We start from the raw sequence: 23,845 nt of genomic DNA, 5'->3' as shown, positions 1-23,845 counted from the left end.
ATCATAAGAGTGGGCTCCCAATAAAAGGATGAGATCAACCGATTTTCTTCCTGTCTAAGGCACTCTCTTGCCCTTCTGCCACAGGGTAACTCAGCACAAGGCCTTCTCCAGATGCTGGTGTTATGCTTTTGGACTCCGCAGCCTCCAAAACCATGAGCTAAATAAACTTCAGTTCTTTATCAATTACTCAGCCTGTGGTGTTCTGTTATAGCCGCAGAAAATATACTAAGATCGTTTCCAAATCCATTACCCTCCATGGATACTGAGAGCCCTGTGAGATCAACACTGTTTCCCCCATGTTAAAGATAACTAAACTGAGATTCAGAGACTTTAAGCAACTCATCCAAGGTCACACAGTCAGTAGAGCAGAACTGAGACTCAACCCCATATTCACTAAGTGCAAATTCCTTTCCACTAAACATCATAATACCAAATTTCCAACCTCTTAACATTTTCCTCCTCAATCTGCACCCAAGTCCTGCTCCCTATTACTATAGTTTGGTAGAGAATATAAAACCTCAATTGGACACTTCCCTTTGAGGCCTTTTTTTAAACTGAAGATGGCAAATTATAAAAAATGCATTATTAAACATTAAGGAAAAAATCTTGGGACTATTCAGAGATTGGTATATACATTTAAACCAATCTCCTATGTCCTATGTACAGTGAAAATTGCTTTTAGATAAAAAGTATTTAAATGAATTTACTCATGTTCACCTTATTTTAATTTAACTACTCTGATTCAAATTGAGGTAAGGGGGAAGGATGTATATCCTGATACAGGCACACATCCTGTTAGAGGAACGTGTTTTTTTTCCAGCCACAATAAACAATTCAACACTTCTCCCATTCCTATTCCATCCCACACTAATAAAAAAGGTTGAGGATGAGAGTAGTGGAATTTAGGCTAATAGATGGTTTTCTTTAGCCTATTGCCTGGTTTCTATAAGCCCTAGACTATGGTCTTGAATACAATAAACTTGAAAAGCCATGAGGCTTTGCTAGCACTGCAGTAGAGTAATCAATCATACCCCCACCACAAACCAAAGGTGTGGGGGCCAAGCCAATCTACACGTCATCTTCTCTGCTCAGAGGCCTGTAATGTTTCTTCTGGCTCTTGCTGTGGCCTGCCATCCTCTTTATTCCTGGGCTGATAGTCAAATGTACAAACACATGGAGAGCAGAAGGCTAGTATCCATGGAGAAGGATGTTCTATTACATCAAAGTCACACAGAAATCAGATCCATGTTAATGGGGGTCCACCCAGTCTCCTGAATGACCAAAAACATCTACCGACTCAGTTTTTAAAGAACTGTGACACAGCCCTGGTGAACATGTGCAGAAGGCTTCAGAAGCACCATATGTGTATTACACAGAGATTCATATGTCTGAACTCAAAGCAGGAGGGAGAGTGCTGTTAACTGCAGAGTAGACAACCTAGAAGTTGGGGCTGGGCAGGAGGCAGGGAACAGTGGGGCTGGGCAGGAGGCTTTAATGAGAGTGGGGAGAAGTCCCAGAGTCAAAGAAAACTCCAGAAAAGAGAATGAAAGAGAAAACAGGGTGGGAGAGAGGGGGAGGGGTACTAATTCAGGTTGTCTAAATAAAACCCATTGAATCCCTACCTCTGCTGCTACTAACCAGAAAGGACTTGATCTAAATAATTCTTCATAAGATAAATAGTTTCTCTATTGTATGTATTTGCTTTTTGCTTTTTGAACTAGAGACCAGAGAAGCTCCCTCTTCTGCAACTTAGGCTCATTTCATTTTGCCTAATATTTAAGGAAATACAGAAAGAAATGCCTCTTTATAATATCATTCTCTCTCTAGGGCAATTATCTCTACTAATTGCTTTACCCTGGGTATTACTTTCTAACTCCTTAATCACTGTACTTATACACTAAGTTAAAGAGAGACAGAAAAAAAAAAACAAAAAACATGCTTTTGAAAAGAGGCTGGAGTGAGTTCTGGCAGGGGCGTGGGTGAAGGGGTTGCAGGAAGCACAAGCACCAAGTTCCCTAAGGACAGCTCCGAGGCTGGACACTGCACTTGCTTCTTTAGGAAGAGCCTCCATGGCAGCTGCCTCTTGGGAGGTGGGGCTGCAAGGAAACTGAGTGAGGCTGTTTCAAACCCTGGTCACATCAACCTCCCCCGCTGCACTCTGGGACATGTAGTACTGAGTGAGGGGCAGTGCTGCGCCCATGTTTGCATTGCTTACAGAGTGTGTGGCTTGATCTCTCTGCCTGTCCTAAGCCTATAAATACAGATCAGATGCTTTTGCCAAAGAGGTGAAATCCCTTCTCTCCAGAGTCTGGGTGCTGATTGTAAACTGAAAAGATGGTGATGAAACAGAAAGAGATTCACAGAACTACAAGGGACTTGAAATAAGGAAGACCTTGAGAGGTCACTAGATGTAGACGCTCCCTGTATATGTAGATGACAGGTTCTCTAAAGAGGAGAAGAGAGGGAGAGAAAGAAAGAAGAAGGAAGAAAGAGAGAGAGAGTGAAAGAGAAAGAGGGCAGTGTGTCTGTGTTCCCATAAGGATGTGTATCTGCTTCAGTGCCTTTTCTTTTGCTTGTTAACCATCAACTTCTAGAGGCAGCTGAGCGTGAGGAAGAGTTTCAGCTTGAATTCTGACTCGACCACTCAGCCACCATCTGTGAATCTTGAGCAAGTTACTTAGCCCTGTGTGCCCCATTTCCTCATCTATAAGACAGGGATAATAATATTATTCAAGTCATAGGCTGTTACAAAGATTAACTGAGATAACATATGTAAAGGGATTAGAGTTGTGTCTGGCACATAATAAATATTACCTAAGAGTTAGGTGTTTGTTTTTCATTCAGTGGTTTACCACCTGTCTTCCCCTAATCCATGTGACCTCTTACCCCAGAGCAGGAAATTTTATGTCCCCCACAGAATTGATGATTGTAGAGGTAGAGTGGACAGCAGTCAAACCCACCTGCTGTTTTAGGTGAACAAAGACATCAAAACAAGCTGAGCATGATGGCTCGCGTCTATAATCCCAGCACTTGGGGAGGCTAAGGGGGAAGAGTCACTTGAGGCCAGGAGTTCAGGACCAGCCCGGAAAACAGAGTGAGAGACTCCCATCTCTTAAAAAAAAATTAATATATTTTTTAAAGACATTGAAAGAGAGAGGTGAGACAGTCACTAAAATAAGGAAAATATAGAAAAAGAGGAATAAGGAAATACAACAGGAGATACTTGCCGAACAGGGTGTCCGACATTAAGAGGGGCTTTGGGGAGAGTGGTAGAAAAATGTCATCAAAAACAGTAAGAGTCTACATGGAAATAAAGAAAAGTCATAAAGAAAATTAGAGAACTGGTTGGGCATGGTGGCTCAAGCCTGTAATTCTAGCACTTTGGGAGGCCAAGGCTGGAGGATCACTTGAGATCAGGAGTTTGAGACCAGCCTGGCCAACATGGTGAAACCCCATCTCTACTAAAAATACAAAAATTAGCTGGGCCTGGTGGTGCACGCCTGTGATTCCAGCTACTTGGGAGGCTGAGGTATGAGAATCGCTTGAACCTGGTAGGCGGAGGTTGCAGTGAGCCGGGATTGCACCATGGCACTCCAGGTTGAGCAACAGAGCCAGATCTTGTCTCAAAAAAGAAAAAAAGAAAATCAGAGAAACTGATCTGGTTGGAAGTGGGAGGAGAGAGGTGAAACAGAGAGGAGCTGTGGATGGAGAGAAGCTGCCTGGCACAAGAAAAACTAGCACAGCGGGAGTCACTGCTGCAAAGGTCAAGTCTGAATTGGTCTTGCCAATCTGCACTGCTCTCTGGGGAAGTCAGGTTGTTGTATAAAGGCTTGAAGCGGAAGTTTCTGAAGCAGTCAAGATAAGGAGGGAGGAACACAGGTGGTGAGAATTGAAGATCAGCTTCTAGGAGAAAAGGAAATAGCTAAGCCTTCGGGGTCAGTCATCTCTAGTACTGCACACTCAGCTATGAGGGAGATATCAGGAGAAGAGAGAAAGGACTCTCTGAATACAAGTCCTTGCGGGCTGGACAAAGTGGAAGCTGTCAGCCTCCCATGGCGTCTTGCTTAGGGGAGCTCGTACCTTGTGCAAGACTGAGGGCCTTGGCGGGGACCAGTGCTGTTCTATGCCTGAATTCCTCAGGGAAAAACATGATAGGCCAAGGGAAATCCACCTCCCTTAGCTGCTAGCAATTCCTGAGACCGCCCCCGCAACAAGCAACAGAAACATGAGTGACATTACCTCGACCTCAGCCTCTAGAACTGGACAGGATAGTGCAGCACAGTGATTGAAGTCTACAGTCAAATTTCCCAGTTCAAACTCTAGCACATTATTTAATAGCTTCATGACATTATATAAGTTATGAAACTTCTCTAAGCTTCAGTTTTCTTGTCTATAAAATGGAGGTCATAATAATACTATTTCATAGAAAAATGGTAAGATTTAAGTGAAAACGCAGTAACTAAAAAATGGTAAAATTTGGCTGGGGGTGGTGGCTAACATCTATAATCCCAGCACTTTGGGAGGCCAAGGAGGGCAGATCACCTGAGGTCAGGAGTTTGAGACCAGTCTGACCAACATGGTGAAACCTTGTCTTTACTAAAAAATACAAAATTAGCCAGGTGTGGTGGCGCATGCCTGTCCTCCCAGCTACTTGGAAGGCTGAGGCAGGAGCATGCCTTGAACCCGGGAGGCAGAGGTTGCAGTGAGCCAAGATTGCACCATTGCACACCAGGCTGGGTGACAGAGTGAAACTCCATCACAAAAAAAAAAAAGGTGAAATTTAAATGAAAATGCAGTAACTGACACATAATAGGCACATTCAATCAACGTTAACTAAAATAATCTTGTCTTTATAATTACTATCTTAGGGGTATGGGTGGGGGGTTAAGAACAATGGGGACTCCATGAGTTCCCTCAGTCCTCCAAGCCGTCTGCACTTGGTGCCAATGCAAAGCTAGCTCTGGTCTGGTTATGCAGCTCCTTCCCTTACCTACCATCTCCAGGCACAATCGCACCACTTCCAGTCAGCAGCTGGTCCCTTGCACTGTGCTTTCAGATGACAAAGTTGTTCAAGTGCTTCAAAAATGGAAAAGATCATGACTGCATAAGGCTGCCACGCCCTGCCCTGGGAGCTCACTCCTATGCCTGTACCCTTGTTCACAAATGTCCTATTGCCAGGCTGCAGAGGACTTCACAGCCTATCACACCAAGGTTCGGAATGACAGTACAAACAATCCCTGACTTCTGATGGGCCATCCTTCGCATTTTGAATTTTGATCTCTTCTCAGGTTAGCGATATGCTTTATAATACTTTCTCACCATGATGGGAAGTGGCAGAAAGTCACAGCTCCCAGTCAGCCACGGGATCACATGAGCAAACAACCAATACTCTACAGTCAACTGTACTGCCAGATGATTTTGCCCAACTATAGGCTAATGTAAGCATTCTGAGTATGTTTAAGATAGGCCAGGCTAAACTATGATATTAAGTAGGTGAGGTATATTAAGTGCATTTTCTTTTTCTTTCTTTCTTTTTTTTTTTTTTTTTTTGAGATGGAGTCTCGCTCTGCCACCCAGGCTGGAGTGCAATGGCACTATCTCAGCTCACTGCAACCTCCGCCTCCCGGGTTCAAGCAATTCTCGTGCCTCAGCCTCCCGATTAGCTGGGATTACAGGCACGCACTTCCACATCTGGCTAATTTTTGTATTTTTAGTAGAGACGGAGTTTCACCAAGTTGCCCAGGCTGGTCTTGAACTCCTGACCTCAGGTGATCCACCTGCCCCAGCTTCCCAAAGTGCTGGGATTACAGGCATGTGCCACAGTATTTTCAATTTATGATGGGTTTACCAGGAAGTAACCGTAGTTCAGGAGCATCTGTATAAGAGAAGCCACCGGATTAATGGGCAAGGGGTCAGCAGGGAAGGGAGAGGGGGCTAGGTCCAGTAATATTGCCTGGCCTTTTTATGGTACACTGTAAATGGGACATGCACGTTTGCATCATTCTACTAAAACACTCTTTTAGACTGGGGAGGCCAGTGATGAAAGAAGAGTTAGGATGGGAGAAGGAAGGATTGTCCGAATGCCTGGACATCACTGCATGCAGGCCACTGGGAGACCCTCTAGTGACTCATGCTGAAGCCAAGAGAAAAACAGGATGAGGTGCAAACAGACTATGCTCACAGATCCCTAGCAGCCTATGCTTATGGATCCCTGGCAGTCCAGTAAGCAGCAGCAGCCTCAGGGACTCCTGTTGAAGGAGAATGGTTTACTGGGGATGCTGGTGAGCCCAGGAGAGAAAGGGAAGAAAGGTAAAGGACTTCTGTAGCTCATGCAAATACCTATGGGGCTTCACTTAGTACCTGCAGAAAGGTAAGACAACAGCTCTGTTTCACTGCTTGGGCATGAGAGTGAAACTAAAGAAAGCATCAGAAAGATGTTGTCAAACAAAAAGATGTACTGGAACTTTCCCACATATAACTTGCCAATTAAAATTTTAAGGCACTTCTCAAAATCAGTAAGACACAAGAAACATGCTCAAAAATGATAGTTAAGAAAAAATCCTATTTGGCCGAAAGGCATCTTTAACTAGATCATTCAGAAGCATTGGGGTCTCTATTCTCTCTTGGTCAATTGTTTTTCTTGTTCTGTCTGGTTTTGAAGCTTGCCAAGGGATGGCCATTAATAGACTTGCTCACACACCTCCACCTCTGGAGCTCCAATTCCAGCAAGTTAGAAAAAAAGATCCATGAGATTCAAGAAAAAGCAGGTTCTGCACAGGGTCCCCAGTGCCTTGATAATCATGTTTCTTTGCTGGAGGAGAAGTAAGAGTATTGCAAGTAAGAACTTGGGCTCCAGGCTGGCGCAGTGGCTCACACCTGTAATCCCAGCTCTTTGGGAGGCCTAGGCAGGGGGATCACTTGAGGCCAGGAATTCAAGACCAGCCTGGCCAACATGATGAGACCGCATCTCTAGTAAAAATTAAAAAATTAGCGTGGCATGGTGGCACGTGCCTGTGGTCCCAGCCACTCAGGTGGCTGAGGCATGAGAATCACTTGAACCCAGGAGGTAAAGGTTGCAGTGAGCCGAGATCGTGCCACTGTACTCCAGACTGGGTGATAAAGCGAGACTCTGTCTCAAAAAATAAAAATAAAATAAAAATAAACAAACAAAAAAGAACTTGAGCTCTGGAGTTAAATCCTACCTATGCTACCAACAAGCTTGACAGTGGACAATCTAAGCCTCATCTAGAAGATGAGTATAATAGTAATTTCCCTTTTAGAGTTGTATAATAAGATAGCACAGGAAAAGCACAGTGTTAAGCACGCAATATGCCCTCAAAATGGCATCTATTGCCAGGCATGGTGGCTCACGACTGTAATCCCAGCACTTTGGGAGGCCAAGGTGGGTGGATCACTTGAGGCCAGGAGTTTGAGATCAGCCTGGCCAACATGGTGAAACCTTGTCTCTACAAAAAATACAAAAATTAGCCAGGAGTGGTGGTGTGTGCCTGTAATCCCAGCTACTTGGGAGGCTGAGGCGGGAGAATCACTTGAACCCTGGGAGACAGAGGTTGCAGTAAGCCGCGATCGCGCCACTGCACTCCAGCCTGGGTGACAAAAGAGACTCTGTCAAAAAAAAAATAAAAAGGTTTCAAGGTAGCTATTATTATTTTAATAATAATACCATTATTATTACCTTAGAACATAAACATTGCTCCTCCACAAAGTACACAGACACTCTGCATTTTCTTGGATTTACTGGTCACATTTGTAGACTGGTGAAAGCTTCCTATAGTTATCAATTTCTTCATTTAAAAAGACTCCAATTAATTTTAGCAAATTTCCCATTGTGGAAGTGAATAACATACAAGCATATAACCATTTGCTATAGGTACTGAAGAAGAAATGTATGGATTAGGAGAGTGTAGCGCACTGGACCTCTTGAGTCTCTGCTTAAGGGTCACATCTGTTGGTATTTATTTAGTTAATTATTTATTTTGAGAGAGATGGAGTCTTGCTCTGTCACCTAAGGCTGGACTGCAGTGGTATGATCCTGGCTTACTGCAGCCTCTGCCTCCTGGGTTCAAGCGATTCTCCTGCCTCAGCCTCCCAAGTAGCTGGGACTACAGGCATGCACAACCACGCCCAGCTAATTTTTGTATTTTTAGTAGAGACGGGGTTTCACCACGTTGGCCAGGCTAGTCTCGAACCTCAAGTGATCTGCCTGCCTCGGCCTCCCAAAGTGCTGGGATTACAGGCGTGAGCCACTGCGTCCGGCCAAAATACCCTTATTTACAAGGATAACTCTCAGCCAGTTGAACCTATCCATCATTTAAGATGCCCAGAAGAAGGAAACACAGACAATAGATCTGTTTCATTTCTACAGGGAAAAAAGATGAGTGGGAGAAATTGCTCCCCTTGTGGATCCCACAGCAAGCGTGTAGTGGAGTTTCAAAAGTCAACCAAACAAAGAGTTTCAAAATTCCAACTCTAAATTCAATTGACTAATTCGTCCATCATGCTGACATAAAAGACACAAGAGAGCTTTTGTGTGGGGAAGTAGGGGGTGCACGCAAACAACCTCTACTCCCACAGCCCATCTCCCCACCCCACCACCATTTGAATCAGGGTCAAAATGGGTTTCTCCACATCTCAGTGGAAGAGCTTCACCTTCAGACTAAGGAGAAATGGCAAAGAAAAAGAAAGGGAGCCAGCATTTAATTGCTTACATGCCTGAGGATAAGAAAAGAGGCACTGAGTAACCTGGAAAGTTGGTGACAGATAAGATGGAATAAGTAACTTAATTACGTACCCCTCCACCCACCTTTCTCCTTGCCACCGAATGGTGATTCTTGGACTATGCAGAAGACAGGTAAGGGACACAGAAGTTGTGTCCCTGGGTATTTTAGTCCTTTTTTCTGTTGCGATAACAGAATACCACAGACTGGTTAATTTATAAAGAAAAGAAATTTATTTCGTATAGTTCTGGAGGTTGGGAAGTTCTCAAGACAAAGGAGCCACATCTGGTGAGGGACTTCTTCCTGTGTTATAACATGCAGAAGGTATCACATGGCAAGAGGGCAAGGCCATGTCTCTCTCCCTCTTCTTTTAAAGCCACCAGTTCCATCATGGGGGCTCCACCCTGATGACCTAATCTAATCCTAATTACCTCCCAGAGGCCTTGCCTTTTAATACTGTTACAATGGGGATTGAGTTTCCAACACATAAATTTTGGGGTCACAACCAAACCATACCACCAAGCTACGTATCAAAAGGCCCTTCCATGTCCCAGCCCTATTAAATTGTGTGCCGGATATTAGCTAGAGTAGGATCACAGGAGGCATCAGGGCTCAGGGCATGTTTCTCTTTATTTTGCACTTTTATTTACATTTTCTTTATCAGCACTGCTTTTCGAGAAAGAGCATATTTCTCAAAGCATGGTCCAAGACCACCTGCATCAGAATCACTTGGGATATATGTTAACTGCAAATTCCTAGGCCTTTCCCAGTCCATAGCACTCAGAATCTAAGAATAGGGCCTACGAATCTGCATATTAAATAAGCTTTGCTTGTGACTCTGAACCACGTTAAAAGGCTGAAAACCACTGCTTCAGAACCATGTCTAACCAGCGGGACACTCATAATCAAGGAGACATGAACACTTACCCATGGCCATGGAGGAATAAAATATTAGATAGGACACAGCAAGATGGCTGAATAGAAGCCTACACCATTCATTGCCCCTATAAGAACAACAAATTTTAAACTACCTACACACAAAAAGGGCCATTGCAAGAAACAATGTTGGGTGAGCAATTACCGTAACTGGTTTTAATTTCATATAACTGAAAGAGACATTGAAGAGGGCAGGAAAGAAAGTCTTGAATCACCAGCGCCTCCCCTCCGTTATTCTCCAGCAGTGGATGTGCAGCATGAAGAATCTGTACACTTGGGAGAGGGAGAGCGCAGCAATTGTGAGGCTTTGCATTGAACCCAGCTGTGGTGGCTACAGTAAAAGGCTCCTTCAGTTTGAGAAAAGCAGGGGGAAAAGTAAAGGGCACTCTGTCTTGAACCTTAAGTACAAGCTTGACCACAGTGAGGAAGAGCGCCAAGCAGGCTCTTGGGGTCCCCAGGTCCAGTTCAAGGCTCGTGGTCAGCATTTCTGGACCTGCTCTGGACCAGAGGGGAGCTCACTGCCCTGAAGGGTGGGTCCCAGGCCTGGCAGCATTCATCACAAGCGGAATGAAAAGTCTTTGGACTTTAAGTGAACATCAGCAGTGGCCTGGCAAAACCCCCTGTTGGCCGGTGGTGGTGGCCACAGGGAGAGGCTCCTCTGGCCGGGAAGGGGGAGGGAAGAGTGGGAAGAACTTTTTCTTGTGGTTTATATGCCAGCTTAGCTTACCATTTTTTTTTTTTTTTTTTTTTGAGACAGATTCTAGCTTTACCGCCCAGGCTGGGGAGTGGTGGCGAAATCTTGGCTCACTGCAACCTCTGCCTCCCGGGTTCAAGCGATTCTCCTGCCTCAGCCTCCTGAGTAGCTGGGATTACAGGCACCCACCACCATGCCCTGCTAATTTTTGTATTTTTAGTAGAGACGGGGTTTCACTGTGTTGGCCAGGCTGGTCTCAAATTCCTGACCTCATGATCCGCCTGCCTCAGCCTCCCAAAGTGCTGGGATTACAGGCGTGAGCCACAGCACCTGGCTGCCAGCTTAGCTGCAGTAGAATAGAACACCAGGTAAATTTCTAAGGTTTTTTACTTCAATCCCTGGCTCTAAGACAGCATCTCTGGACTCATCTGGGGCCTAGGGGAACTTGCTGCCCTGAAGGGAGGGCCATAAACCTGGCTGGCTTTGTCACCAGCTGATTGTAGAGCCCTAGGATCTTGAGTGAACTTACATGGTAGCCAGGTCATGGTTACAGCAGGCTTTGAGTGAGACTCAATAGTGTGCTGGCCTCAGGTCTGAACCAGTGCAGTCCCCATGGTGGTGGCGACAGGGGTGCTTCTGTTTCCCTACTCTCAGTTCCAGGAGGCTAACCACAGTGAGAAACTGCATTTGTTTGGGAGAAAGTAAGGGAAGAGAACAAGAGTCTCTGCATGGCAATCAAGAGAATTCTTCTTGATGTTCTCCAAGACCACCAAAGTGGCACCTCCATGAGTAGACAAGAACCACAACATTATTTGGTTTGGGGGCCAAATGCCTTCAAATACCTGAAAAGCCTTCACAAAAAGAATAAGCACAAACAAGCCAAGACTGTGAAGACTACAATAAATGCCTAACTCTTCAATGCACAGACACCAAAGAACATCTACAAGCATCAACACCACATCTAGGAAAACATGACCTCGTCAAACAAACTAAATAAGGCACCAAGGACCAGTCCTGGAGAAACAGAGATATGTGACTTTTCAGACGGAGAATTCAAAATAGCTGTTTTGAAGAAATTCAGAAATTTAACATAGCACAGAGAAGGAATTCAGAATTCTATGAGATAAATTTAACAAAGAGATTGAAATTATTAAAATGAATTAAGCAGAAATTCTAGAGGTGGAAAATGCAACTAGCATGCTGAAGAATGCATCAGACTCTCTTAATAGCAGAACTGGTCAAGCAGAAGGAAGAATTGGTGAACTAGAAGACAGACTATATGAAATATGAAAATACAGTTAGAGGCGACAAAAGAATAAAAAACAATGAAGCATGCCTACGAGATCTAGAAAACAGCCTCAAAAGGGTAAATCTAAGAGTTATTGGCCTTACAGAAAGAGATAGGGGTAGAAAGCTTATTCAAAGGGATGATATCAGAACTTCTCAAACCTAGAGAAAGATATCAATATTGAAGTACAAGAAGGTTATAGAGCACCAAGCAGAGTTAACCCAAAGAAGACTAGCTTAGGCATTTAGTAGTCAAATTCCCAAAGGCCAAGGATTTTAAAAAAGGATCCTAAAAGCAGCGAGAGAAAAGAAACAACATACAATTGAACTCCAATACATCTGGCAGCAAACTTCTCAGTGCAAACCTGACAAGCTAGGAAAAAGTGGCATGACATATTTAAAGTGCCGAAGGAAAAAAAAAACCTTTTACCCTAGAATAGTACATCTGGTGAAAGTAACCTTTAAGCACAAGGGAGAAATAAAGACCTTCCCAGACAAACAAAAGCTGAGGGATTTCATCAACTCCAGACCTGTCCTATAAGAAATGCTGAAGGGAGTTCTTTAATCTGAAAGAAAAGGATGTTAATGAGCAAAAAGAAATCATCTAAAGGTAGAAAACTCACATGTAATAGTACACAGAAAAACACAGAATATTATATCACTGTAATTGTGTTGTATAATGTACTCTTATCTTCCATAGAAAGACTAAATGATGAACCAATCAAAAATAATATCTATGGCAACTTTTCAAGACGCAGAAAGTACAATAAGACATAAAGAACAACAGAAAGCTAAAAAGCAAAATTAAAGTGTAGAGTTTTTATTTGTTTTTGTTTGTTAGTTTGTTTATGCAATCAGTGTTAAGCTGTCATCAGTTTAAAATAATGGGTTATAAGATAGTATTTGCAAGCCTCATAGTGACCTCAAATCAAAAAAACACACAACCGATGCACAAAAAATAAAAAACAAGAAAAGACAAAAAAAAAAAAAAGAAGAAGAAAGACAAACTTCGCATGGTTTCACTTATTTGGGGGAACTAAAAAGCAAAACAATTGAACTCATGGAGAAAGAGAGTAGAAGAATGGTTACCAGAGGCTGAGAAGGGTAGTGGAAAAGTGGGGGGAAGTGGGGCTGATCAATGGGTACAGAAAAAATAGAAAAAATGCGACCTAGTATTTGATAGCACAACAGGGTGATTATAGTCAATAATCATTGTACATTTTAAAATAACTAAAAGAGTATAACTGAATTGTTTGTAACACAAAGAATACATGCTTGAGGGGATGGACACCCTATCTTCCATGCTGTGACTATTACATCCCTGTATTAAAGTGTCTCATGTAACCCATAAACATATACACCTACTATGTATCCATGGAATTTTTTTAATTTTTTAAAAAGCATATTAGGGCTTGTATTTATATTTATGTTTATTCCATCTTATTAAAATTTGTTTCATTATATTACAGTATACATAAAATATTTAGTACAGAAGTACACACATAATTTATGTGTGTGTGTATGTGTGTCTGTGTGTGTGTGTGTGTGTGTGTGTATGTATATATACATATGGTATGTGCTCAAACAATTTTAGTGATAGGTGTTTGAATCCAAGCCGGAGCATCAACTTCTGGTACAATGACTTCCTCAATACCTAGAAGAGCAAGTTAGGAGTAGTAAAGAGCTCTCCCGAGCTTACATGATTAATCAGTGAGTGATTGAAAAGAGAACCCAGCAGTTTATCCCCTGACTTCATCTCAACCCTGGAGTACAAGGGAGGCAAAGAATGCAGCAGAGAGCAGGACAAGCCTAAGATCGGACTCTCTGTTTTGAGCCCCCGAGTTGCCACCCACTCACATTCCTTCTTCGCTGAGGCTGGTAGGAGGATGGAATTTCTCCCAGCAGGAAGTAGGGAAGCTGGGGAATAAAAATTACCATCCATCCTGCCAGTTGTCCAAATCTAAATCCCAACTATGGCATCAGCAAAGATAAGAGGAGTTTGCTGAGCTATAATTAACAACCCCCCTTTCTCAGGCACAAAGAAGAAGGGCTAGAGTAGGAGAAACAGAGCAGGTGATGGTTACACCTGCAGACAGTTCTGCTGACAGCCACAGAAGCAGCCAGGACTGCTAAAGAGGAGCTCTAAGCTGGGAACTTGGGGAAGCAGGAGCAAGACAGGAGCACTCACTTGCTTCTTTGCCCTGCCCTCAAAAGTCAGAGCTTAGCTCAGACCTAAAAAAAAAAAAAAAAGGCCTTAAGTGCTGTCTTCCACAAGACCATGTGACCCCCTAAGCATATGTGCAGGTGGATCAGAGAAAGGGGAACATGTGAGAGGTGGTCACAGATCAAAACATTTCCATGAGCATGAAAAGTTTAAAAAGGTTAATAGATGTGTAAAGGTCAGTCTTTGCCCTCCATTTGGGCTACAGTCACGAAATTCCATGATCCTAGAATGTCAGCATTAACAAAAAGTCGTATATGGTTATTCATTGGTTCATTTACTCATTTAGTAAGTAGTTAAGTATGATTATGTGCCAGGCACTGTGCTAAGTGTTGCGGACACAATAAAACAAAGATGGTCCCTGCTCTCATGCAATTTAGGGACTAGTTGGGGAGACAGACAATGATCAAGTCAACAAATAAATACAATTATAATGTGATTAATGCTAAAATGGAAAATAAGCCATTTATTTTGATGCAAGTGAGGGAGAGAAACCCTACTGGGACAAAGGGGTAAGAGGCAGCCTCTCTGAGATGTGACAGCTCCCAGGTGAGGAATCTGAGCTGAGAGCAGTTCGAGTGATGAGTCACTAACAGGGAGGAAGAACTCAGGTCTTCCTCTCCACCAACAGCACCACTATTAACAACATTGTTCCTGGGATCTGAACAATAGGAACATCTGGGGCCTCTACTGAAGCTGTTTACAAAGGGACACTTCCACTGCAGAATTTAATCAAAGTGAGCCTCTTCTGAGATGGGACCCTCTTCCTAATCAGCTGGAACAAGCTGAACACCTTCTGGGCCCACGTTCCACATGGAGTTCGAGTGGGCTGCCTGCGGGTAGGTCTGGAAGCCCGTCCACACAACTGCCACTCTGGGCTTTTCACCCCACCCTCAAGGCAGCTGTCTCTCACCAGGACAGTGAGGACCAGAGTTTATATAACTGGCTTCCCCTGGCAACTGGGAAGTCAAACATTACTTCTCATGGATTCATGTGTGGCTTCCCTTAATAAGTTTGCAAACCTCCTGCTCAAAACTCACTCTCCACACCCCTTGCAGGCTAAGCCCAGGCCTACTATTTGCTGACAGTGACACAAGCTGCCACTTACTGTGTGCTACGTCCAGACACAGTGCTAAGTGCCTTTCTTATTTTATCTCAGTTCAATCCCCACAAGCTCCATAAAGTAAGTACAATTATCTTCATTTTTCAGAAAGGAAACATTCAGAGAGGATGAAATGTTTTTGCAAAAGCACCACAGCCAGGATGTGGCAGAGCTGGAATTTAAACTAAGGTATTTTGGTCTCCAAAACCTGAGTTCCCCGCAGCCATTACTGAATCTTGTCCTTGCACCACATCACAGGATCAGAGACTTCCTTATTCTACCATTATCTGTTGAGAACCTACTGTGTGCAAGGCACAGCGCTGAATATCGGTACCAGAGAAGTCATCTAATCAGAGAGGGACACAGTCTTTGCTCACCAGCCCCAAAACTTTAGCCATGAGAAACCCTTGTCAATAGACAGCTAAACAATCACAGGCATCTATGCCTATGCGTGTGTGTGTGTGTGTGTGTGTGTGTGTGTATGTGTGAAAGAGAGAGACAGAGAGAGAGAGAGGATTGAGGTTAAGCCACCTACTGCCTCTAGCCTCTCCCTACCTCTGAAATCCATTTGGCCCCTCTTTCTGCCTTTCTCCTTCCTTTTCTCTCCTCACTTCATTCATTCCATCTTTCTCAGTGATGTTTCTCTTTACGCCAAAACAAAAGCAAAAACACACAAACCTGCCCATAAGTTTACATGATCCTCTCTCTTGAATGCCTGTCAGCCTTCAAATTTAATTCTAACCTTAGGGGCTGGAACCTCTTCCTCCTCCAGGAAATCTCCTTCTTCTAGTTACAGAGGCCAAGAGGGCAGGGCAGATTCAGCCAGGAGCCACTGCAGCCCATCTGCCAGGTATGGGGGCTGTTTTAGGAAAAAGCACCCCACATCTGATGCATGCTCAAATAATTCTGGAGTCAGACCAAAGTGCCCGACGAGGTGATATAGAAATGAACACACAGCAATGGCCCCAAACACCTACTGCTTAGGTCTCTGTAAGTGGAAGAGAATGATCCACACCCCAGAGACGCCAGCGCCCCTGTCCAGGGGATGCTACACAGGCAGACTACACTGTTCCCTACCGCACCTTTCTCAGGATTTCCAAGTTCTTTATGGACTGGAGCAACTTATCATAAAGGAGAAAAGTAATGGTCCCTGGCCAGTTATGAAGAAGGACCCGGAGGCCAAGGCACCTCGTTGGGAGGCACACAGTGAGGCACAGACTCAGTCTCCCAGTCAACATCCCAGCCACCCATACCCCTTGGCCTTTCCCTTCAGCCTCTTGCAATGGATCACCGAGTGTCCCTCTTGGGCAGGGACCTACAATATCTCCAAACATGGGAGCCAACCCAGGCAATCCCAAACCTAATCTCCAGGGTCCCCACCACCTACTTGGCTCGCAGAAAGGCCAGCTTCTTCCTCAGGGAGGAGACGTGGTAGTGACAAGCCTGCTTTACAGCAGTGCTGCAAGAGACGGTCTCTGGCTGTAGATTCTGCACCATGCTGGGCTCAGGGGAGGGCTGGCCACATGGCAGCTGGGACCTCAAGGGCTGGGGGCTCACTCTGGAGCTGCGTGGACTTGCTGCCCTTGCAGCTACCCCAGCTGTCAACTGTGGGCTCCTGCACATAAGCTCTCCCCTCCGTGTGGTTCAATATAAAACACAGGCAGATGGAGGGCCCAGGGTGGGCAAGCCTGGGGTCCTGCGTTACCGAGATCCCCTCTGCCTCCTGCCCAAGCCACAGCTCCAAATGAAGCCCTCCTCCATCTTTCAACATCTGGCAGAGCTCTGGGCACTTGGTGAGTTTCCTCTCCTCCTTTGTCCTCAGACAAGGAGGATGAAGCTGTACCTGCATGTGATGTCAGCTGCTGGTGCTGGGGGAAGGGGAGGGGCAGGGAGCACTGCTCCCAGAGGGTTTGCAACTTGGCTCTCTCCCCATGGTAAGGGATCACGGGAATGTCCGTGAGTCCATGGGGAATTCACTGGCCAAGCAGGTAGACGGAGCCAGACTATTCTGGAAATATGCTACTGGGGACATATTTCTGGAACAGAATAAGCAAAATTGAAAAGACTTCCTCTTCTACTAGGAAGCTACCTATCCCAGTGGCTAGACCTGAGTTGGCAGTGATGATCTTACTCTAGCATGACGTGCACCACCACACCTGCTAATTTTTGTATTTTTAGTAGAGACAGGGTTTCATCATTTTGGCCACGCTGGTCTCAAACTCCCGACCTCAGGTGATCCACCCACCTCAGCCTCCCAAAGTGCTGGGATTACAGGCGTGAGCCACTGCACCCAGCCACAAATGTCTTTTAAGGTACTTGGAGAAAAGTTGACACAAAAAAAGTCCCAGAATTAATTATATCCAAACATCACACTATTCTCATTCCACCTTCACTGATCTTAGTTAGGAGACATCATTTTCTATCACACAGAGAAAACAGATCCTGCTGCCGCTAACCTCCTCGCCTTCCTACCATAGCACCTAGGAACTCACCTGCATCCACCTCAATTAGTCTCTCCTGTTCAAGGGTAATCTTCTCACCTGTGATCTGACCCAACCTTCTCTTGCCTCCTCTAAAACTCTGCTTCCTTACCTTTCAATAGATGGCACCCCCTAGCTGAGCAAGCTGGAATCCTAGGACTCAACTCTGAACACCTCCCTTCTCTCACACCCATATGTACCCAATTCATGATCAAGCCCTGGACATTTTATCTCCTAAATATATCTTGAATTTGTCTGCTTCTTTTTTTCACTATCACCATCCACATTCCAAGACATGAACATCCTTAGCTTGGATACAGTAATAGGCTCCTAAGGGCCTCAGCTGATCTCCTAGTGTCCATGAAACAGCCTCTGTGTTTTTGTAAGCAATTTTTTCATAAGCAAATCTGATCCTGTCATCTCCCGTCTCAAAGATCTTCAGTGGCTTCCTGGGCTCTTAAAATAAAGACCAAGACCCTTTTGACTATTCTTTCTTGCTTCTCTATTGCTATATCCTGGTCATCCTGGCCATCGAAGCGCCTGCCTCATCTCATTCATATCATCTCATCTGTCTCACATCACTGCTTCCAATTCACCCTTCTAATCTTTGCCCAAGCCTTACACCTTGGCCCCAACCCCTCTGGCCGGGTCCAGCTTCTTCGATACACTTTGCCTGGTACTATGTCCTCTTCCTTTAAGACACCCATCCAAATTCCAAGTTTGCATTTTCTCAATTGTGTTTAATATTGTCCCTTCAACAAGACTGGAAATCCCAGTACATAGTGCTCTTTCTTTACTTTTTTGAGACGGGGGCTTGCTCTACGCCCAGACTGGAGTGCAGTAGCTATTTTTTGCAGAGACGAGGTTTCGCCAGGTTACCCAGGCTAGTCTGAAACTCCTAGCTTCAAGTGATCCTCCCACCTCAGCCTCCCAAAGCACTGGAATTACAGGCGCCAGCCATCACACTTGGCCGATAGTGCGTAATTGATCAGTCTGTTGAATGAATGAATGAACAAATGAATTTATCCTCTCTGAAATTCTCAGCCTTGAGATACCAATTTCTACTTCAGAGATTATAAAAAAGTGCTTATGTCTCTCCATATTAAAACAAGAATTTTCCCCAATCATCCCTGCTTTCTCCTCTAGGTATCCTCCCTATTTCTCTTCTTCCCAGGCAGACTTCTAGAATGAAATCACTATGGTCGGTCTCTTCTCCCTCCCCTCAAATATACTCTTCTGAAACTGCTCTGTGGTAACCAATGACCTCCACAAATTGCCACTGCAGAGGATTCTTTTTAGTCCTTTTCTTACCTATTTCTACCCTTTTAACTATTCTTTCTTGCTTCTCCATTACTATCTCCTAGTCATCTTGTCTTCAGTGGACAATCTTTTAAAATTCTTCCTTCCTTTGTCTTCTGCTTAAACTTTGCTTATCCTGAGACTCGCCTCAACTATATTCTCATTGCTGTGCTCTTCCATAGTGGTCACTGCCAAATGAGCACTCTCAGTCTTGTCCCCTGAGCTTCAAACGGTGTAGCCAATGGCCTAGTGTTTCTATCCACTGGCACACTCCATGAGTAGTTCACTCTACATGACTAAATTAAACTCACTGCCACCTCTGCTCCTCAAATCCTTCGTCCTCGACCCACTGTTTTAATGATAATAATACTAATAGGCACATACACATTAACCACAGGCCAGGCATGATTTCAATTTTTTTTTTTAACTCTTCTAGGACCCTTTATCTGGGGACATAAATGGACAGGCTCCCTGGGTGGGTGCTGACAAGCCCTTCTCTCCCCTTAGTCCAGTGGCCCCTGAATCTGCCCCACTTCCATGCCCAGGTGGATACCATTCCTCTAGCACCTGCCGTTCCTGGGCCATCTAAGGGGTCAACCTTAAGGGGGTACGCAGAGAGGTAAGGACCGCCCCCCCCTAACTATTTTCCCTGAGCTCCAAATTTCCATCGGGTCCCACGCCCCTTCCTCTGTTGACCAGGGTGCACCATGGACATGGAGCCACATCTTTATGTTGCTCTCTCTTCCTGTCTCCCTTGAGCATCGCTCTTTCACTGCATCCCTGATGCTCTCATGAGATACACTTCTAGGGTAGGGCTCCCCATCACTGAGTGTGACAGTGGAGGAGGAGGGCCAAAGCTTTCAGTCAGGGCCATGGGGTGGCAACGGGGGAGGAGGAGGGCCAAAGCTTTCAGTCAGGGCCGTGGGGTGGCGAGGGGAGAAGATCCGGCTCCCCAGGTTCACACCTCCGTTCCGACACGTCATCACCCCCATGGCCTTGTTCTTGATGCCTGATGGCCATATTAAGTCACTGGGCTGAAAAATTACTCAAGAGCAGGGACCATGTCTTCATCTTGGAATCCCTTACGTGGTGCCTAGCAGACAGCAGGGCCAGGCAGCCAGTTAATGCCAGGCCACAGGTTTTCCATTATACCATGCCCAAATGCCCGGCCTGGAGAGCTCCGGGGGGAGGTATCCATCCTCCACAGCCCCGGAGGGGCTAGGACTCAACTCTGAACACCTCCCAGGTGTGATTTTTCTCACAAGAATATTTGGGAGCTACCTGGTGCTATAGACTCAGTGTTGGTGCCCCACCCCCAAATGTATATGTTGAAATCCTAACCTCCAGTGCAATGGTATTAAGAGGTGGGGCCGTAAATCATGAAAGTGGAGCCCTCATGAATGTAATTAGTGCCCCTATAAGGGGGCTGAAGAGATCAGAGTTCTCCTTTTTACCACGTAAGGACAAAGCAAGAAGACAGCTGTCTATGAAGAAAACAGGACCTCACCTGAATGCCCAAATCTTGATCTTGGACTTCCCGGGCTCCAAAATGGAAAGAAATAATTTTCTGTGATGTACAAGACACCCAGTCTATGGTATTCTGTTACAGCTGCCTGCACTAAGACACTCGGGTGCTCAGTTTCTCAACATAACTCAGTGGCAGCTGGGTGCCGTGGCTCACGTCTGTAATCCCAGAACTTGGGGAGGCCGAAGCAGGCAGATCCCCTGAAATCAGGAGGTTGAGACCAGCCTGGCCAACATGGTGAAACCCTGTCTCTACTAAAAATACAAAAATTAGCTGGGCATGATGGCGGGCGCCCAGCTAAACCCAGCTACTCAGGAGGCTGAGACAAGACACTTGCTTGAACCCAGGAGGCGGAGGTTGCAGTGAGCCGAGATTGCATCACTGTACTCCAGCCTGGGTGACAAAGCAAGACTGTCTCTAAAAAAACAAAATCAAACAAACAAAAAAACGTAACTTACTGGTTTCCAGTCATCCATAAAGAATACTCACTCCTTATCACAGCAGGACGTGGCATGACCAGGCACTTGCCTACCTGTCCAAAGGCCTTTCCTGGCCACTCACTAGCTACCCCTCTCCTAGGATATGGCGCTGCAGCAACACTGAAGTATTTGTGGTTCCCGAACATGCCTTGCTTTCTCCCGCCTCCATGCTTATGTACATCTTGTTCCCTGGCTTGCAAATGCTGTCCATGTGACAGACTCCTACTCCTCTTGCAGTTCTCAGCTGAAGCACAGCCCCCTCTGTAGAGTTTTCTGGAAACCCTCCCACCCCTGCCCTCACCCCAGAGTAGCTGTGTTTCTCTGGGGCAAGTTTAATTCCCCGAGCCTTGGTTTTCCTAAACTCTAATATGCAGATAATGGCATGTACCTGATAAGGCTGTTGAGAGGAATATATTTAAAAATGTATGCAAGGTTTATTACACAGGTTTAAGCACAGAGTAAGCACTTAGTGAACTTCTTTATTTATTTTCTTTTGAGACAGAGTCTCACTCTGTCATCCAGGGTGGAGTGCAGTGGTGCGATCTCAGCTCACTGCACTCTCTGCCTCCTGGACTCAAGTGATTCTCCAGCCTTAGCCTCCTGAGTAGCTGGGACTACAGGCGCACACCACCACACCCAGCTAATCTTTGTATTTTTAGTAGAGACAGGGTTTTGCCATGTTGGCGGCTGGTCTCAGACTCCGGGCCTCAAAGGGATCCACCCCCATCGGCTTCCCCGATTGCTGGGATTACAGGCATGAGCCACCACACCCAGCTTGTAAAATTCTTCAGTTTTATTACCTTACGCATAATTTCTTAAGTCATTTATTACATTATATTATACTTGTTTATTTGTAAGTATATCACACCATAAGAGAATCAGCTTCTTGAGGGGAAATACCACAACTTAATCTATTTATCTGGAGTCTAAATATGTGACATTTGCAGATGCTCAATATTCTACACTTTCTTTCTGCCTTTGCTTTTTCTTTTTGTTTTTTTTTTTTTTTCTTTTTTGAGACAGGGTCTCACTCTGTCACCCAGGCTGGACTGCAGTAGCACAGTCTAGGCTCATTACAACCTTCGCCTCCCATGCTCAAGGGATCTTGTACCTCAGCCTCCCAAGTAGCTGGGACCACAGGCGCATGCCACCATGCCCGGCTAATTTTTTGTAGTTTTGATAAAGACGGGCTTTTGCCATGTTTCTCAGGCTGGTCTCAAACTCCTGAGCTCAGGCAATCCACCCACGTCGGCCTCCCCAAGTGCTGGGATTGCAGGGGTGAGCCACGGTGCCCGGCTTTGTCTCTGCTTTGTCAAGAACAGAAGGGTGTAAGATCTGGTAGGAAACTGAGAGTAAAATGTTATGATAGCCAGAATCAGAGTGCAAGCAGCTACCATTTATTAAGCATCCACTTAATGGCTCTTTACGAATGTTTTCTCATGTATTCTTTACAAGAAAATCCAATGGACATCAAATTTTTACAAAGGAGGAAACTAAGGTTGAGGGTTGAGTAACACTAAGTAAATTGACTTTACAAATGCACAATCAGGCTGGGTGCAGTGGCTCACGCCTGTAATCCCAACACTTTGGGAGACAGAGGCAGGTGGATTGCTTGAGGTCAGGAGTTCTAGACCAGCCTGGCCAACATGGTGAAACCCCATCTCTACCAAAAAATACAAAAGTTAGCCAGGCATGGTGGCACACACCTGTAGTCCCAGCTACTCGAGAGGCTGAGGCAGAAGAATCTCTTGAACCTGGAAGGTGGAGGTTACCGTGAGCCAAGATCATGCCACTATTCCACCCTGGGTAACAGAGCAAGATTCTGTCTCAAAAAAAAAAAAAAAAAAAGAATGAATTAATGTCCTATATTCCATACACACACACTTCGGGGAAGTTACCTATTTTGCTTTCTACTGGACACCTGGAAGAATTATTCTTATCTCTGAGACAATCTCCATTTCCTAATAAACACATTTTCATAAAAATCAACCCTTCTTGCTGATGCCACACCCACTCAGCAAATGTATGTCACAGTCCTTCAACCTACGCTCTACTCCTGTCAAGGTTCCAAAGTCTTTCCTTCAGGACAGAGCGTCAATGTGAATAAGGAAAAAATCTTTCTCAGAAATCCTTAGGTTTGAACACCGTATTAAGGTATTCCACCCACTGCTGTGTAGAGTAAGGTAGCTACGTAGTCTCTGAATACTATAACCGTTCTGAACCTTACACAAAAGCAAGAAAAGAAAATGTTTTATTAAACCAGCTGAAAGTGCATCTGGTACTGAAAGATTTTAATTTGAATCTTTAAAATAGAAGAAATCAATGCTAATTTTTTTGCCTGCTCTATGAAACAATCTTTCATGTTACAATTGATGATATGGTTTGGAAAATTAGAAGAAGCCACAGAAAAAAAATCCATAATATCCACCTCATCCTTGACCGTTTTCAGTCAGTGACAATACTACCCAGCTCCATCTGCCACCCAGGGGCATTACGAAGAGTAAAGAAGATGACTGCAGGGAGGCCTCACCAGTGCAGGAAATGCCGCCATTCACAGCTTGGTGCACTGTCCCTCAGAGGGGGCCAGAACGAGGAGCACAGGCCAGATGCCCGCCACTGCCCACATCTCCCCAGGGTTCCAATCTCACCCCAGGTCAGAACATCACAGATCAACGTCCTAAACACCTGGAGACTCTTAACTGGGTAGGAAGAATTAGGTGCAGAGCGTAAGTTAGTTCTGAGCTGAGCCTGGGAGACTAATTTGAGCTCCGGAAACTTGTTCTCTCCAGGAGAAGGAACCCAGCAGCCAAGATGAGAAGAAAGACTTTCTTCGGAAGGGCTATGGTGAGTGAACACATACTAGAGCCAATTTCTGAGGTTTTGGGGGTTGGAGGGGGGGCCGGTCACAGGGACCACCAGAGGAAGCATACTTCTGACCACATTCTCTCTGTTCCTCATACTCTCCAAAGCGAGTTGATGCAAAACAACATCCCCATCCACCATAAAGAGCTTAGGGGACTGCGAGTGGGCCAGGATGGGAACAAAGGACCCGGGAAGAAATCGAGAGAGTTTTTCTGGGCAGAG

The 23,845-nt window shown here is 45.0% G+C and overlaps 1 protein-coding gene across 25 annotated transcripts in view, besides 2 other annotated features; it reads right to left on the bottom strand.

Annotated features, from left to right (window-relative positions):
- The window catches only part of GRAMD1B (GRAM domain containing 1B), a 269,346-nt gene that overhangs the window by 119,443 nt on the left and 126,058 nt on the right, over positions 1-23,845 (bottom strand). The window lies entirely within an intron of this gene.
- Positions 13,827-14,343: an enhancer, noted in NCBI's record as "OCT4-NANOG-H3K27ac-H3K4me1 hESC enhancer chr11:123364690-123365206 (GRCh37/hg19 assembly coordinates)". NCBI's record gives its function as "activates a minimal SCP1, AML or CMV promoter by ChIP-STARR-seq in primed H9 embryonic stem cells {active_cell/tissue: H9 hESC(primed)}" and the evidence as "EXISTENCE:reporter gene assay evidence [ECO:0000049][PMID:30033119]".
- Positions 14,344-14,860: an enhancer, noted in NCBI's record as "OCT4-NANOG-H3K27ac-H3K4me1 hESC enhancer chr11:123364173-123364689 (GRCh37/hg19 assembly coordinates)". NCBI's record gives its function as "activates a minimal SCP1, AML or CMV promoter by ChIP-STARR-seq in primed H9 embryonic stem cells {active_cell/tissue: H9 hESC(primed)}" and the evidence as "EXISTENCE:reporter gene assay evidence [ECO:0000049][PMID:30033119]".

The sequence above is a fragment of the Homo sapiens genome, chromosome 11, assembly GCF_000001405.40.
Source record: "Homo sapiens chromosome 11, GRCh38.p14 Primary Assembly".
Lineage (NCBI taxonomy): Eukaryota > Metazoa > Chordata > Mammalia > Primates > Hominidae > Homo > Homo sapiens.
This window is presented reverse-complemented; position numbering and strand designations above follow the sequence as displayed.